The sequence below is a fragment of the Homo sapiens genome, chromosome 9 (genome assembly GCF_000001405.40).
Source record: "Homo sapiens chromosome 9, GRCh38.p14 Primary Assembly".
Taxonomy (NCBI): Eukaryota; Metazoa; Chordata; class Mammalia; order Primates; family Hominidae; genus Homo; species Homo sapiens.
Window position 1 is genome coordinate 122,272,972 of NC_000009.12, and position 17,491 is coordinate 122,290,462.

A 17,491-nucleotide genomic window follows, 5' to 3' on the forward strand; every position below is an offset into this window, starting at 1 on the left:
TGTTGATTTTATTGAACTGCTTATCTCTCCCTTCAGTAAATTTCATACTGCCTGACTTAGTGTCATAAAGTCCAATTTACTGGTACAGATCTTTCCCCTCACCACACATATGCTTTTCTTTTTGTTCTTGACTTTCTCCTTTTCTATATGAAATTTATGATCATAGTGTCAAGTTTTCTCCAGACAGCTCTTGCACAAGGCCAGGAGTGGTGGCCCACGCCTATAATCCCAGCACTTTGGGAGGCCAAGGTGGTTGGATTGCTTGAGCTCAGGAGTTCCGACCAGCCTGGGCAACATGGGGAAGCCCTGTCTCTACAAAAATTAGCCAGGTGTGGTGGTGCACCCCTGTGGTCCCAGCTACTTGGGAGGCTGAAGTGGGAGCATTGCTTGAGCCCAGTAGGTCAAGGCTACAGTGAGCCATGATGATGCCACTGCCACTCCAGCCTGGGGGACAGTGAGACCCTGTCTCAAAAAAAAAAAAAAAAAAAGATCTTGTACAGTTATTTAATCAGTTCTTTAATCAGGTTTATTTCTGGGGGAATCCTATCTTTTTTTTTTGTCACTTTTATATGTATTAGTTTTTTGAGTTATATATAAGGAAAAGTGTTTACGTAAATCATAAGTTTGTGCTTCAGTGAATTTTCACAAAGTGAACACAATCATGTACTTATTACCCAAATCAATAAATAGACTGTCACTTGTGTTTTCCAAACTTACCACATGTCCCTTTGAGTTGTTACTGTCTCACTGTAAGGATAGATAACCCACTATATTGACTTTAACACCACAGATTAGTTTTGTCCTTTGTGACGTCAGTATGGATTTTGTGTCTGACTTCTGTGGTAATAATCTATTTGTGAGATATGTCCATGTTGTGCACATAATGGTTGTTTGTGCATTTTTATTTTTTTAATGATATTCTACTGAAAGTATATACCACAATTTAATATCCATCCTACAGTTAACAGACATTTGGGTTGTTTCCAGTTTTGAGCTAAAACAAATAATGCTAGTATAAGCATTCTTGTACATGTGTTGTGGTGCACATATGTCCCTTTCCATTCTTCTCCCCTCCTGTCCTATTGCCCTCCCTTCTCCTCTCCTCCCCTCACTGTCATTGGATTGGCTAGGAACTCTAGTGTAATTTGAATAAATGTGACTGGTGATAATAGGCATCTTTGTTTTAGTCCTGACTTTATAGGAAACACTTCTTATATGTTAACCTTAAGAGTTATGTATGTGGAGAAATCATATTACCTGACTTCAAATTATACCACAGAGCTATAGTAACCAAAACAGCATGGTATGGGCATAAAAACAGACACATAGACTGTGTTAGTCTGTTCTCATGCTGCTATGAAGAAAAACCTGAGACTGGGTAATTTATAAAGGAAAAAGATTTAGGCCAGGCACGATGGCTCACGTCTGTAATCCCAGGACTTTGGGAGGCCAAGGTGGGTGGATCACTTGAGGTCAGTAGTTGGAGACCTGCCTGGCCAACATGGCAAAACCCGGCCCCTTGCGTGTTTGATAGAACTTGCCTGTAAAGTAATATGAATCTGGTGTGTGTGTGTGTGTGTGTGTGTGTGTGTGTGTGTGTGTGTAGGTAGACTTTAAATCATAGAATTGGTTCCTTTAATGATTATGAGACTGCTTAGATTTTTCTCTTGATTTAGTAAGTTATATATTTTAGGAAATTTTTCATTTTTTTGACCTTTCAAAGTTGTTGATATAAAGTTGTTCATAATAGTCTCTTATTAAGATTTCTACTATTTTTATAGTCATGTCCATTTTTTCTTTCTTAATATTATTTATCTGCATCTACTTTCTTCTTTTCTTAATTGTTCTTGACAGAAGTTATAAACCTTTTAAAAGAGTCTTTAATTTTTTGATCTCTCTTTTTTGCAATTTTATGATTTCTGTTCTTTATTATTTACTTTCTCCTGTGTACTTGTTCTGTTTCTATCCTCTGAGTTGGACAATTAGTTCATTAATTTTTGGTCTTTCCTGTTTTCTTTTTTTCTTTGAAAAATTTTATTATAAACATGATGCTTTGATATACATGCAGTGATATGGTTACATACATGCAAATTAACATATCCATTATCTTACATAGTTACCTCCTTTTTTTTTTTTTTGCGAAAGCACATAAAATCTGTCTTAGCAAAAAATCCAGAGTATAATACAATATTACTAACTATAGTCCTCCTATTGTACATTAGATCTCCAGACTTGTTCATCCTACATATCTACTACTTTGTATCCTTTGATTTATATCTCTCCATTTCCTCACCACCACCACCACCCCACCCCGCTGACCCCTGCTAAGTATTATTTTATTCTCTGTGTGTATTCATCTTTTTTGTAGATTCCGCATGTGGTTAGGCATGGTGGCTCATGCTCATAATTCCAGCACTTTGGGAGGCCGAGGCGGGTGGATCACTTGAGCCCAGGAGTTCAAGATCAGTCTGGGCAATGTGGTGAAACCTCTTCTCTACAAAAAAAATACAAAAATTAGCCAGGCATGGTGGCATGCGCCTGTAGTCCCAGCTATTCAGGATGCTGAGATGGGAGAATCACCAGAGCCCAGGGAGGTTGAGGCCTGTAGTGAGCTGAGATCGCACCACTGCACTCCAGTCTGGGTGACAGAGTGAGGCCCTGTCTAAAATACAAACAAGCAAACCCCAACCCTGAGATTCTGCATACAAGTATAATCATGCAGTATTTTTCTGTGTGTGGCTTATTTTGCTTAGTGTAATGTCCTCCGGGTTCATCCATGGCAAATGGCAAGGTCTCGTTTTTTAAGGTTGAATAATATGCCACTTTATACACAAACACACACACCCATACATGCACCCACATCATTTCTCTATCCACAGACACTTTGGTTGTTTTCATATCTTACCATTGTGCATAATACTTTCTTCTTTATTTTTATTTCTTATTGTTTTTTTGAGATGGAGTCTCCCTCTGTCACCCAGACTGGAGTGCAGTGGCATGATCTCAGCTCACTGCAGCCTTGTCCTCCTGGGTTCAAGCAATTCTCCTGCCTCAGCCTCCCAAGTAGCTGGGACTATAGGCACTTGCCACCACGCCCAGCTAATTTTTGTATTTTTTTTTTTAGTAGAGATGGGATTTCGCCATGTTGGCCAGGCTGGTCTCGAACTTTTGACCTTGGGTGATCCGCCCACCTTGGGCTCCCAAAGTGCTGGAATTACAGGCATGAGTCACCACGCCCAGCCTGTTTTGTTTTGTTTTGTTTTTAAAGTATTAAGGTTAGAAGTTTCTGTCTAAATACAACTTTAAATGCTTCCTATAAGGTTGTTTATTTATTTTAGAGATAAGGTCTTGCTTTGTTGCCTAGGCTGGAGTGCAGTGGCACAATCATACCTCACTGTAACCTTGAACTCCTGGGCTCAAGTGATCCTCTCGCCTTGGCCTTCCAGAGCGCTGGGATCACAGGTGTTGAGCCATCGTGTCTGACTTGAGTTTTTGACATTGAATATTTTTATTATGGTCATTTCTCAATATTTAAACATTTCCATTATGCATTTCTTTATAGCCCATGAGTGTTTATTAAGAAGTGTTTAAAGTTTTTCAAACAAATGGTTGTTTTGGGGTTAGCTTAATTCTACTCTGTTCAGAAGGCATGTTCTATATGATATAGATTCTTTTATTTTTGTTGAGATTTGATTTGTGTGTAAAACATGGTTGTTTCATAGAAGGTCCAAGTGTGCTTGAGAATAATGTGTATTCTTTTTTTCTTGGGTGTATTGTATTAGATCAAATTGACTAATTTTATTGATCAACTTTTCTGTTTTTTTATTTGCTTACTTATCGGTTATCAAGGAAGGTATATTGAACTCTCCTAGTATGCTTGTAGATTGATCAGTTTCTCCTTTTTTGTTGTTTTTTGAGACGGGGTCTTGCCCAGGCTGTAGTGCAGCAGTGCAATCACAGCCCACTGCAACCTTAATCTTCTGGGCTCAACTGATTCTCCTACCTCAGCCTCCCAAGTAGCTGGGACTACAGGCACGCACGGCCATGCCTGGTAATTTTTGTATTTTTTGTAGGGACTGGGTTTTGCAATGTTTCCCAGACTGGTCTTGAACTGCTGGGATCAAGCAATCTGCCCACCTCAGCCCCACAAAGTGCTGGGATTACAAGTGTAAGTCACTGCACCCAGCCAGTTTCTTCTTTTAATTGTATTAATTTTGAGGCTATCTTATTGATATATTTAATCTTAGAATTGTTATATATCTTTCTGGTGAATTGTTTCTATTATCATTTTGAAGTTGTCTTCATGATTTCCAATAGTGAATTTTGTCTTAAAATCTTTTTTGTTTGATGATAATGTAGCTACACCAGCCTTCTTTTGACTGATGTTTGCCAGGCTTATAATTTTTCCATCCCTATACATCAAACTTTCTGTGATCTTTTATAATTTTTAAAAACCGTTATGTTATATTCAGCTAGATTTTTAAAAATCTTACTGAGAATCTCCCACTTTTAACTTGTCATTTTGATCCATTTATATTTATTGTAGTCACTGCATATTTGTGTTATTATTTTATTTTGTACTTTCTTTCTTTTTTTTGAGACAGAGTCTCACTCTGTCGTCCAGGCTGGAATGCAGTGGTGCAGTGTCGGCTCACCGCAACCTCCGCCTCTCAGGTTCAAGTGATGCTTGTGCCTCAGCCTCCCGAGTAGCTGGGACTACAGGCATACGCCACCATGCCCAGCTAATTTTTTGTATTTTTAGTAGAGATGGTGTTTTGCCTTGTTGGCTAGGCTGATCTCAAACTCCTGGCCTCAGGTGATCCGCCCGCCTTGGCTTGCCAAAGTGCTAGGATTACAGGCATGAGCCACCACGCCTGGCCTTATTTTGGACTTTCTTTATATCATGTTTTTTCCTTTTTTCTTTTTTTTAAATGCATATTTAAAAATTTTTTTTATTGATACATATTTGTACATACTTATGGGGTATATGTGATGTTTTGTTACATGCATAAATGATTTAAGTTAGGGTATATGGGGTATCCAGCATCTCAAGCTTTTATCATTTTTATGTGTTGGGAACATTTAAAGTTCTTTTAGCTGTGTTGAAATATTCCTTTTTTTCCTTTTTTCTTCTTCTTTTCCCATTAGATTAAATTTCTTTATCCCTCTCTCTCTCTTTTTTAAATTCTGCTGATTTGGAAGATATACTTTTAATTTATTATTGTTTTGATGGTTACCCTTAACTAATTTTTTAACCTTTTTATAGAAATAAAAAAACCCTGTAGGAAAGTGCAGCTGTCATAAATTTCACAAGCTGAAATCACTTACAGCACCCAGATAAAAAAAACAGAACATTCTTAGCATGTCAAAAGTCCCCTTTGTGCTTCTTTCTAGTAAGTACTACCCTTGACCCTTTGCAGATAACTATTATTCTGACTTCTAGTAGCATGGATTCGTTTTCTCTTTTTTTTTACTTTTCAGTTTATATTCTCATATCTGGCCTTTGTACTGTACAGTTTTGTTTTCTTGTGTCTGGCCTCTGTGTTCAACATCATGTTTGTGAGACTCATTTAAATTTTTGTGTGTGTTCATTCTTTCTCATGGTTGCATAGTATTTCATTCATAAATATTACTATTCATTCCAATATTGACAGGCATATCTTTAAATTATTAATGTGCATATTTGGTTTTAAAAGTTCAAAGTTGAAGATATTATTTCAGTTGCTTCTGGCTTCTGTTGTTGCTCTTGGAAAGTGTTCTAAGTTTTAATCCTTCATGGATAATTTGTCTTTTCTCTTGGGCGTTTATAAAGATCTCTTTGTCCTTTGTTTTCTGCAGTCACAACATGTCTAGGTGTGAATTTACTTTTATTGTCCTATTTGAAACTTGTGTTTCTCAATCCGAAGATCCACATCTTTTTTTTTTTTCTTTGATCTGTCGCCCAGGCTGAAGTGCAGTGGCACTGATCTCGGCTCACTGCAACCTCCACCTCCCGGGTTCAAGCGATTCTCCTGCCCCAGCCTCCCGAGTAGCCGGGATTACAGGCACACGCCACCACGCCCAGCTAATTTTTGTAATTTTAGTAGAGATGGAGTTTCACCATTTTGGTCAGGCTGATCTTGAACTCCTGACCTCGTGATCTGCCTGCCTCGGCCCCACAAAGTGCTGGGATTATAGGCATGAGCCACTGCGCCCAGCCCCACATCTTCTATCAGTTCTGAAAAAAAACCTAAGCCATTGGTTTCAAAGCATAATGGTAACATGGGCAAATAAATGTTTTTAAAAATCACTCTGTTGCTTACCAGTTGTTTACTTTGGACGAAACATTTAAATGGCTTGTGCCTTAGATTTCTCATCTGTACCATGGGGACAATACTAATCACTATTCTTCCTACCTCAGAGAGCTATCTTGGATAGCAAGGAGGAGAATGTACTTGAAATTGCATTGCAAGTTATAATATGCCACCCAAATAGTACAGGATTGAGTTCACTGTAGATGTTCAACAAAATTTATTTAATGAATCTCAATAAATATTTGTTGAATGTTTAATGAATAAACAGTGTAAATATTGTTTAAAATTTTATTGTTTTTCTCCTTCCCCATTCCCTATAAAAGAAATGCAAGAATATTTGCATCACTCACAGAAATTATCTATGTATACACCTAGAATGTATATGAAAAATCACTACGATGATTTAGACATAAAATGAAATTATATTCAGCTCCCAATGCTGTTGATTTTCTAAAATATAAGCCATTGTCTCTACCATTGGTAGTGTTTAATGTCTGTAAACTACTATTGTTCCTTTTGTCTGTACTCTACCAGCCATCAGATATTGTGTGCATATCCTTGTCTTAGTGTCCATTTTTAATGAATTAATGTATTTCCTGTCTCTCTAATTAGATTTTGTGGAGATGGGCTAGTGAAAAGTTCATGGGTTTAAAATTAGGCAGATCTGGAACCAGATCTTGACTTTTCCATTTCCTGACCTGTGACATTAGGCAAATAGCTTTACCTTTCTCATCTTCTGTTTACTTTTCTGAAAAGTAAGGGATTAATTTAGTTATGGATTCCCTGCCATGTGTATAGTGTTCTTTTAGGTGTTTGAATGACTTAATTTGTATCCTTGTAGCAACCTTGCAATATAGATGTTACTATTCTTTTACAGGTAGGGAACTTGATACTCAGAAAGATAACTTGCCTAAGGTCATAAAGCTAGTATGCATTATAGCCAGACTTCTAACCTGGGGTGTCTGATTATAAAGTGTGCCCCCTCACTAGTATCTGAGAAGGTGTTTAGCACAGTTGACACTCAGTTAATATAGGCTCTTTTTTAGTGGAGCGATAATGTTTTATAATTTTCTAACACTTGACATTTTTCCCTGTACATAGTAGGTACTTCTTCACCAATTGCTTATTGGCTCTGTTTATGCTGCTGTTGTTTTATTCACTGAATGTTCACTTTTTAGCCAAAGGGAAAGGACAGTCCCAAACCAGAGTGAATATTAATGCTGCCTTGGTTGAGGATATAATCAACTTGGAAGAGGTGAATGAAGAAATGAAGTCTGTGATAGAAGCTCTCAAGGATAATTTCAATAAGACTCTCAATATAAGGACCTCACCAGGTTAGTGACTGAACCAATGTTCTGGGGAGGGATGTAATGGAAAGAGCATGGGTTTGGCAGAGTTGAGTTTTAGTCCCAGCTTTGCCATTTACTAACTGGTGGCCATGGGCAGTTACTTTGCTTTTCTGGTCCTCGGTTTTCTTGTTTGATTCTTAACTTACAGCTTTGGGGTGGTAGTTAAAATAAATGAGGTAACGTATTATGGTTCTAGCATAGTGCCTGGCGCATAGTTAACACTACATTTATTTATCCATGCTGCAAATTTTTGTCTACTTTGGAACTAGGCATTGTGCTAGTGCATAGTAGTAAACAAAAATAGGTATTGTCTTTGCTATCATGGAATTAGACTCTCAGAAAAATGAGATTTTTATTATGAATGTACTATAAACACATCTAGGTATTTAGTCTCATAGTAACTGACATCTTTGGTCCGATTTTTCCAATTTGTCCTGTTTGGCAGTTCTTATCCCTTACTGGGAACCAAATGAATACAGACCTGCCCACGTGAGGCATTTCTATACCCCTGAGCTTGACCAGGAAGATTCCGTTTGGGTTAATAACTTCCTGAAAGTGGCTTTTCTAAGTGGGAAATGTCAGAACTGTCTAGGCCAACTGTTTGCAGATGTGATGGAGAAGTGAGTTGTCAGCTGATGGTGCAAGCAGGCAGGAAAAATCCAGTTGCTGTTAAATTAGGCTTTTGCAAATTGTCATCATCCTAAAGTCAAACCTGGGACCCCTCTCTTAAGGTACCTGTGGGAGCTTGGGCTGCTTCTACTCACATCTTGATTAGGATAGTTCATAAGAAAACTAGAAATATTTCGCTCTTAAGAAAACCAAGTGAAAAATACAGCTCCACTTATAAACACTATCAGAAACATTACCGAGTTCAGAGATGAGATCCAGTGTGAAACTAGAAGACTGTTCCCGTCACTTGTCAACCTTTGGGCTGGGGCATTTCTGCCTTTGCTGACAGTAGAGCGTGCCATTCAATCTCTCTCAACTGTTTATTTTAAACTTGCTTATTATTTTAGGTATGAAACTGATAAAGTGCTCTGTCTCCCCTGTGTTTTCTGGCCTGTTAACATTCTGCAGCCGAAACCAGAGAGCAGTTTGAGAGGAGCTCAGGGAGAAATGTGATACTTAAAATTAGCCAGCAAGCTCCACTCTTGTTGAACTTAAAAAGATGATGGGCCTGGAAAGAGGTTGGGAGTGTAATTTGTTAAATGTTAACCTCTGAGAAAATGAGGGGCAGGAATGAGGCTGAGGGAGATTCTCGCTGGGGACAGATTGAGGGAAAAGGATTTGATGCATTATGTCGATACGGATTTAGGAATGGTAACCACCACAATTGCATTCTGAAAAGCCTGTGTTGGGACTTCTGTGGCAAAGGATCTCATGGCAAATCAGGAAGACTGAATTAAGATCCATTTCAAAAGGCCTCCTGTTGGTATTTCCTCTTTCCTTTCTCTTCAGGATTATGTTTGTTTAACGTTCTGTATAGAATTTGGGGCCATGAAGAGACTGGGTGAAACAGACTAAACTTAACTAGTCTCTTTTGCCAGATTGTTCCGTTTTATCTTTCATTACCATCTGAACCAACAGGTACTTTTCCCCCTACCTTTTCCTCTTTCTCACAGCAATTTCTATCTCCCAGATAACTGACACCTTTTAACAGTTGTCTAGATACAGGTTTATTTGTTTATTCATTGTTGTCCTCTTCCCTTTCATCCGTCCATGCATACATTGATTTATCGTCAAAGCATTATTGAGCACTTTTTCTGTGCTGATTAATATGTGCTGTGGATACAGAGAGAAAATATATTGTCCCCACCTTCCAGAAGCCTAGAACCTGATGTGAAGGGTCAAACAAGTAAACCAACATGTATAAAACTATACAGCAAAGCTGAGTGGTGAAGACCAAATGACTTGGAGTTGGTCAGACCTGGGTTTGAATTCAGGTTCCATTAAGAGCTGTTGTGATCTTGGGCAAGTTACTCTGTATGCCTCAGTGTCCTTGTCTATAAGGTAGAAATAATAATAACTATCTCATAGAGTTAATATGATATTGACAGCAAATACATTATAGAAAGCATTTATCATGATGTCTTGCTTATAGGAAGTATTCAGTAAATATAGGCAATTATTATTATGGAAATGTGCTTGGATGCTGGGGGCTTGTAAAAGGGGTTTATAGTCCAGCCTAGGAGATCAGACAAGATTACTGAGATTAGATGCCACTGTATCTGACTGTTAAGGAATGAGCAGGATTTATCTGAACAGAGAAGAGTGTTCTCAGTAGAAGGAAAAATATATGCAAGGGTCCTGAAGCAAGACAGAACAGAGTTTATTAGAGAATATTAGAGTGTATTAGAGAAATTAAAACACAGAATGTCAAGAAGTAATAATAGTCAGCATTTAGTGGGACACAGTTTAAATGCTTTTCCTACATTCTGTCATTTAGTATTCATAAAAACCCCATGAAATATAAGTACAATTTTTTTTTTTTTTTTTTGGAGTCAGAGTCTTGCACTGTCGCCAGGAGTGGAGTGCAATGGCGCGATCTCGGCTCACTGCAACCTCCTTCTCCCGGGTTCAAGCGATTCTCCTGCCTCAGCCTCCCAACTAGCTGGGATTATAGGTGCCCACCACCATGCCCAGCTAATTTTTTGTATTTTTAGTAGAGACAAGGTTTCACTATGTTGGCCAGGCTGGTCTCAAACTCCTGACCTCGTGATCCACCCGCCTCAGCCTCCCAAAGTGCTGGGATTACAGGCGTGAGCCACTGTACCCGGTGAGATATAAGTACAATTTTTATGTCCCATTTAGAAATCAGGAAACAGGCCAAGAAGGCTGAAGGGGGTCTACCCATGGTCACACAATCAGAAAGTGGCAGAATTGGTATTTGAACTCAGGTAATTGGTCTTCAGAATAACAAAGACTTTTACCATTATACCTCCCGGACTTTTCCAGGTTGAAGCCACTGCTGTCAGCAACCTTCTGTCTTATGATGACATTGAATCTGGTTGAGTATCTCAAATCAGATCTTTGGGCCACAGTATGGTACTGCATTATTCTAACAACATATTGCCAGGACAACTCCAATTTGTTTAAGACTCCATTTCCCCCCTTTTCTCTTTGTGTCTCAGAATGAGCCATCCTTGAGTGGTTCCTACTGTGAATAGTAAGGTTTTTCTTCTAGTTCTCATTTGCATGGGAAATAAGGGAGTTTGAATAATGCCTCTTTTCCATCTGTAACTGTGGCTTTATTGCTTGCCTTCTTGCCATTTTTGAAAATTTTTCCCAGGGTTTTCCAGAATTTAGATGCAGATAAAGATTATATCCAGGATAATAGGAAAATGTTAATAGTTTTGTTGTTGTTGTTGTTGTTGTTGTTGTTGTTGTTGTTTGTTTAATGGGCTAGTTCTAAAGGGGATCTAAGTACCAAAATGAAGGGTCGTATAAGCAAATGGTTCCAAATCTGGCTGTGTCAGAATAATGTGGTGAACCTAAAAAAAAAATTACAAGCTTCCCCAAATCACAGGCTCCGAAGCCTCTGCAGAATCAGGATCTCTCCAGGGTGGGGCCCAGGAATCTAATTTTCAAAGCTCCCTGGTGATTCTGATGCACAGCCGGATTTGAGTTCCATTTGTAAGGGAAAGAGCCTTGACTGAAATCAGAATTAAGCACACCTGAGTTTGGGTCTTGGCTCTTGTTTTTCCTCTTGTTACCCCTATGATCTTGGCCTGTTTATTCTTCCCAAGTCTTATTTCCTCATCTGTAAAGTGGGGGTAATAATGCAGTGTTACAGGGTTGTTGTAAGGACTAAAAGGGATAGTAAGAGGTACAGTCCTCACTCTAATCCTCTAAGGTAGTTATTTTTTGACTGAATTGGAAACCAAGGCACAGAGAAGATAAATAACTCACCTGAGGTTTCATAGCAAGTAAATGACAGAGTTGCTTGTGAGGGTGATCAGCTGTTTCCAGTTTTAGTTCTAAAAGCCCTGTCACAGAAAATTCTTCAGCTCCAGGCAAACCAGGATGGTTGGCCACCCTAGTTGCTGGTGATGAATTCCAACTTAGTTCTGTCAACATTTCAAGCTTTTCTATCACGATACTGCTGTTCCTGTGAAAGCCCCTTGTACACTCTTGTCACATTGATAAGAATCCCTAAATGTTTGTTGAATCTGAATTATTATTATTATTTTGAGACAAGATCTCACTCTGTTGCCTAGGGTGGAGTGCAGTGGCCAGTACGGCTCACTGTAACCTCTACCTCTTGGGTTTGAGCAATCCTCCCACCTCAGCCTCATTGCTGAGTAGCTCATCTTCCAGGCACATGCCACCATACCTGCTAATTAAAAAAAAATGTTTTTGTAGAGATGTGGTCTTGCTGTTTTGCGCAGGTTGGTCTCAAACTACTGCCCTCAAGCATTCCTCCCACTTCACTCCCAAAGCTCTGGGATAACAGGCATGAGCCACTGCATCCAACCTGAATCTGAATTAGATAGGACTTAGATTTGGGGCTACTAAGGTTCTTTGGAATTCTAAAACTCTGTAATTTTTCTTTTAGGATCCCTTGACAAGATTGCTGTGGTAACTGCTGACGGGAAGCTTGCTTTAAACCAGATTAGCCAGATCTCCATGAAGTCGCCACAGCTGATTTTGGTGAATATGGCCAGCTTCCCAGAGGTAAGATGGCCTTGCTAAAATCTCTCTCCGTGGTCTCTTTTGGAATGGAGGAGACTGGGTCATATCAGGAGGAAGTGTTCCTTCAGCTTAGGATGAAACAAGAGAGAAGACATAATAAAGAGAACTTAAGGATAAGGCAAAGCTCTTTTCCTGTTGCCAGATTCCTTTTCTGTTAAACTCAGATGCTACAGAGGCTAGGTAAGTTGTTTGAATACCCAAACGGGTCCCATCTAAGAAAAACAATACTGGAGATGCAGTGATTGGTGCTTGGCCAGCGTGAAAAGGCTCTGGTGAGCTGGAGAGCCTGTACCTTGTGTGAGTGGAATGCCTCTGCCCAGCTCCTGCTGATCATTGCCAGGCACAATGTAGGCCTGGTAATCAGTGTTACCTGATACTACGATTTTTATTTCCAGAAGAAGCTAGTAACACAAATTTTTATGTGACATCTTTATTCTGTAAATGTTGATGACTAATTGAGTTTTTTTTTTAAAGACTATGAAGCAAATAAAACAATACTTTAATGGGCCAAATGTGGCCTGAGGGCCACCAATTTGTGACCTCTGCATTAGTATTTGGAGCAGACCCTCCAGGAAGTCCTTTTATACTAGACTGACCATTGCAGAATATTGCATGGAGCACAGTGCTTCCAAAACTGGAAGGTGGGTTGTATTAGGTCATTGCATCTTTGAAGCTTTATGATTTTAAGTGTAGTTGAAGAAGGTAATTGGGCTTTTTGTTATTGGTCCACTAGGAATTGGCCTGGATTAGGAGTCTTAGAGTACCTGGAATCCGGTCCCATCTCTACCACCAACTGGCTGTTTGACCTTGGGCAAGTTGCTTCACTCTCTGGGCCTCCATTTCCTCATCTGCTAATATAAGGTGAAGGAATCCTCCTGTTCTTATTGTCTATTTCAGTAGTTGTATTCCAAAGTCATAGACCAAGGTTGGACCTGTTGTATTTGACAAACTAGGCTAGAGATAGGAGAAAGGGAAAGCCCTTGCTGTGAACACACTGTTTCAAATCAAAGGGCTCTGATAGCTAATGGGCCAGGCACACCTGTGGGTGTGCTGTTACCACTCCCCTACTCCATTCTCCATACTATAACCAGAATGAGTTTTTGAAAAATATATATTGTGCCAGGCGTGGTGGCTCATGCCTGTAATCCCAGCACTTTGGGAGGTTAAGGTTAGAGGATCACTTGAAGCCAGGAGTTCAAGACCAGCCAGGGCAACATAGTGAAACCCTGGCTCTACAAAAATTTCAAAAATAAAAAAATTAGTGAGGTGTGATGGCACACACCTGTAGTGCTAGCTACTCAGGAAACTGCAGTGGAAGGACCGCTTGAGTCCGGGAGTTTGAAGCTGCAGTGAGCTATGATCATGCCACTGCACTGCAGCCTGGGTGACAGAGCAAGACCTTGTATCTTAAATAAACAAGGAAAAAAAAATATATGTATAAAAGATTTTGTCAGTTGTCATTCCCATGCTTTGCCTTTATTGGTGGCTTCTAGCAATCTTTAAGAAACAGTCCAAAATCCTCACTGTGGCCAAGAAACAGTCCAAAATCTTCATTATGGCCTAGATGGCTTTGCTTGATCTTGCCTCTGTTTTTTCAGTTTTGCCAGTCTTGTGCCACTGTCATCCTTGTACAATGCTTTAGCCACATTGGTCTTTCAGTTCCTCAAACACACCAAACCCTTTGCATCCTTAGAGCCTTTGCATATCCTGTTCCCATTGCATGGAACACTGTTGCATGGCTAATTGCTACTTATATTTTGGATCATGGCTTAAACGTCACTTTCTTAAGGAAGCCTTTCCTGACCTCTCCAATCTAAATTATTCTTCCACACTAAGTTCTCCTATACAGCACAATTCTTTTTCTTTATTGCACTTATTACTAGTGTACATTTGTGTACACATTTATTTTTCATCTCACTTTTACTAGAGTGTAAGCTTGGAATGTAGGAATGTCTAATTTGCTCATTGTGTCCAACACCAAACAGTGCCTGGCACATGGCACCATTTGGTAAATTTTCCTTGAATGGATGAATACCTGTTATTAGGTTGATAAAAGGGAGGCACTCATTTCTGATGTTAGTGAGGAACAGAGAAATTGATGAAAAGGGAACTGTCAACTGTTTCTCTTTCTGGGCCCCTCTGAACCACTGAGGCCTCTCCTCCTTGTTCATCTAATCCCGTAGGCACTGTGGGCCAATTTAGGGAATAGCCTCCTAATTACACAGCTTGAAGACCTCATCAGGCAGATTGCTTTTCAGAGCCAGCCACTTCTTTTATTAAATAGCAAATGGCATTCACAGAAGAAGCACCTGATTGGCCACCAGAGCATCTTATGAAGCAGGAGGAGATATTAACAGCTTAATTTTTTCTTAGGAAGTTGGGGTATATCTTCATTTTTCAACTCAGACATCTTTGCCATTTGTTCAAGTTGAAATTCCATGGGTTTTGAAAAAATCCTTACAAGTATATCAGTAGAGAGGTTCATTTACAGGAACAGAATGAGGAAGTGTGAGTTACATTGTCTTTTGAATTCCTTTATCTCGTCTGTTGTATATATTAAACAAATAGCTCTAACTAAAGATTTCCTTCCTCCAGCTTCGAAGCTGACCGTAGAGTACCCAGGTTCATAGCTTTAAAATGCTGAGCTAATCCTGTGTTTATGTAATTTCTGTTTCACATACAGTTGGCTTTCTTTCCAAACCTGAGCATTTCCGTGTCATGCTGTAGTGACACGATGCAGATTTACATGCATGATCTTTTTGAATGCATTGAAGACAGAAAACTGTGTTGCATTTGTTTAACATGTGTCCTGCTTGATAAATGATACACATAGTTGCTGCCTTCCATAAACTTGCCTGCAGCTAGAGTTAATGATGGGAAAGAAAAGAAGGGAATAAAAACCACAGCATGATTTGAACAAAACAAGCCAAATGAAAAAAAATAAAAATAAAAAACCACGCACAACTCTGCAGGCACCATTATTGCTCTTGCGGAAGGAAGAAAATGAATGTGTATTGATTGTCTGCTTTGTTGCTAGTCTCTTTCTCATGTTTTGTTTCCTATGATCAGTACAGGTACTCTGTAAAATTAGGCATTATTTATTTCATTTTATAGATGAGGAAACTGAGACTCAAAGCAGTAAAATATTTCCACTAGGTTTACACTGTTGTGACAGAGCCAGGATTTGAACATATCTCTGTTGGATGTGAAAAAGCCTGTGCTCCTTTCACCATTCGTTTGTTAATTCAGCACATATTTTTTGAGTCCTTGCAAGTGATTAGTTTCTATTTGAGGTGCTGGGAATTCACTGATTATTAAGACAGACTATGTGTCTACTTTCATAGACTACATTCTAAGGACTTACTGGGATATGAAGAAAATGGAAGGCCAGTAATTGATATGGCACTAGCAGAGTTGACTTGAATTTAAATTCTCAAGGACTTGTTCACCTGTCTACAAAAGTCTTATTTTTTTGTTGTTGTTGCTATTTAGCACAGATTAGCTTAGAATAACAAAGGCAGACACTACTAATTGATCACATCACTCTTCTCTGCCTGACGCCCAGATGAGATTTGTGATTTTTCTCAACACTCTACTCCAAGCAGCCACAACCAGTTAGTTATGTCATCATTTGAGAGCAACCTGTTTGCCCTGTGATACTGTCGAGCATCCTTTCCGTGAAGGGATGATGCATAAGAGATGGAAAGTCTATAGGAATGTATGCCCCTTTAGTCTGAACTAAAGAGTTTTTCAGATGTCATATGAGAACATGACTAATTCCCTGAGGTTCTGTGTCCTACCATGTCAAAGGAAAATACATGTAGAATTCAGTAGGTTTCTTTGTAAAATGAAACTTTGATTCATGATTTTTCTGCATATGAAAAGATACAGAAAAGTTTAAGTATAAAATAAGATTTTGAGCCATTTATACATGAGGTAAAGGAAGTGAGTTTTTCTAATACATCTGAACCAGATCACTAATATATTCAATCAACAAGCTTTTACTGAGCACTTACCATGTACCTGGCACTCTAACTTGTACTGGGAAGATGTAAATATTGAAGCATAGTTCCTGCCCAGCTTGGTGTCAGTAGTCGGTGCCCTAGTGCCTGTAGGGGAAGGTTGTATGGAAACACTTGGGTCAGCTTGTGAAAGGGAGGTAGTGGTGATGGGGTGTTACAGTAGTGATTATCAGTCATTCATGAGAAGCTATAGTAGAGGATTGAAAGACTTAAGAATGGACTACCCCTTCACAATGGAGATTCTCTCTTTATTGTTAACTTTAGAATCTGTTTTTTTTTTTTTAAGGAAGATGGCATTTCTTTTGCAGAGAAAAATTAATTTTATTTCTTTTTTCAGCTCTTTTATTACCTTGAGTATAACCTTTATACCGCAAACATAATTCCAAATTAAATTTGGCTATTTAAGAAAAATATCAGGCAAGGCGTGGTGGCTCATGCTTATAAAATCCCAGTACTCTGGGAGGCTGAGGTGGGTGGATCGCTTGAGCCCAGGAGTTTGAGACCAGCTTGGGCAACATGGTGAGACTCCATCTCTATAAAAAATACAAAAATTAGCCAGGCATGGTGGTGCAGACCTGTAGTCCCAGCTCTTCTTTCTTTTTTTCCTCCTGCAGCTACTTGGGAGGCTGAGGTGGAGAGTCACCTGAGCCTGGGAGGTCAAGGCTGCAGTGAGCCGTGATTATGCCACTGCCCTCAAGCCTGAGTGACAGAGTGAGACCCTGTCTCAAAAAAAAAAAAGAAAAAAGAAAAAGAAAAGAAAAATCAAATCCTTAATGTTATAATTACTGAATGCATTGAGCTTGGGGATCTGGAAAAAAGTAAAGGTAGAGCAGCATCATTGGATTAAATCCCTATTCAGTCTCCTCTTAACTCTGCCAGTAACTGGAAGTTTGATGGATGGGAGTCCTCAAACCATCTCTCTTGGGCTGTCAGGGAAGACCATGTCTACTCTTGGGGGTGTGACCCTATTCTACAAGTTCCTCTTCACATAATGAAGAGACTTGGTTATGTCAGAAATCCCTTCCAGCTCTAATAATCTGTGGCCAGAGGTACTATTTTAAGAATGTACTATTTTAGGTAGTGGCCACAATGTTAGATTCTGTGTACAGCCTCCCAAGAGGATTCTTCATGTGTA

General features: G+C 39.2%; 1 protein-coding gene across 16 annotated transcripts in view; it reads left to right on the plus strand.

Moving 5' to 3' along the window:
• MRRF (mitochondrial ribosome recycling factor) overlaps positions 1–17,491 on the plus strand; it is a 66,456-nt gene that overhangs the window by 8,090 nt on the left and 40,875 nt on the right. For 11 of the 16 annotated variants that reach the window (XR_007061372.1, XM_011519183.3, NM_001346339.2 and 8 more), the window contains 2 exons: positions 7,472–7,627; positions 12,198–12,316. Coding sequence is in view for 12 of the 16 variants with exons in the window: in XM_011519183.3 (XP_011517485.1) it covers positions 7,472–7,627; positions 12,198–12,316 (275 nt within the window). In the remaining 4 variants the exon portion in view is untranslated. Of the gene's footprint in view, positions 1–7,471; positions 7,628–12,197; positions 12,458–12,808; positions 12,976–13,067; positions 13,196–17,491 lie in introns of those variants that run through there. The other 5 variants (NR_144421.2, XR_007061373.1, XR_007061374.1 and 2 more) reach the window with 3 other exon arrangements.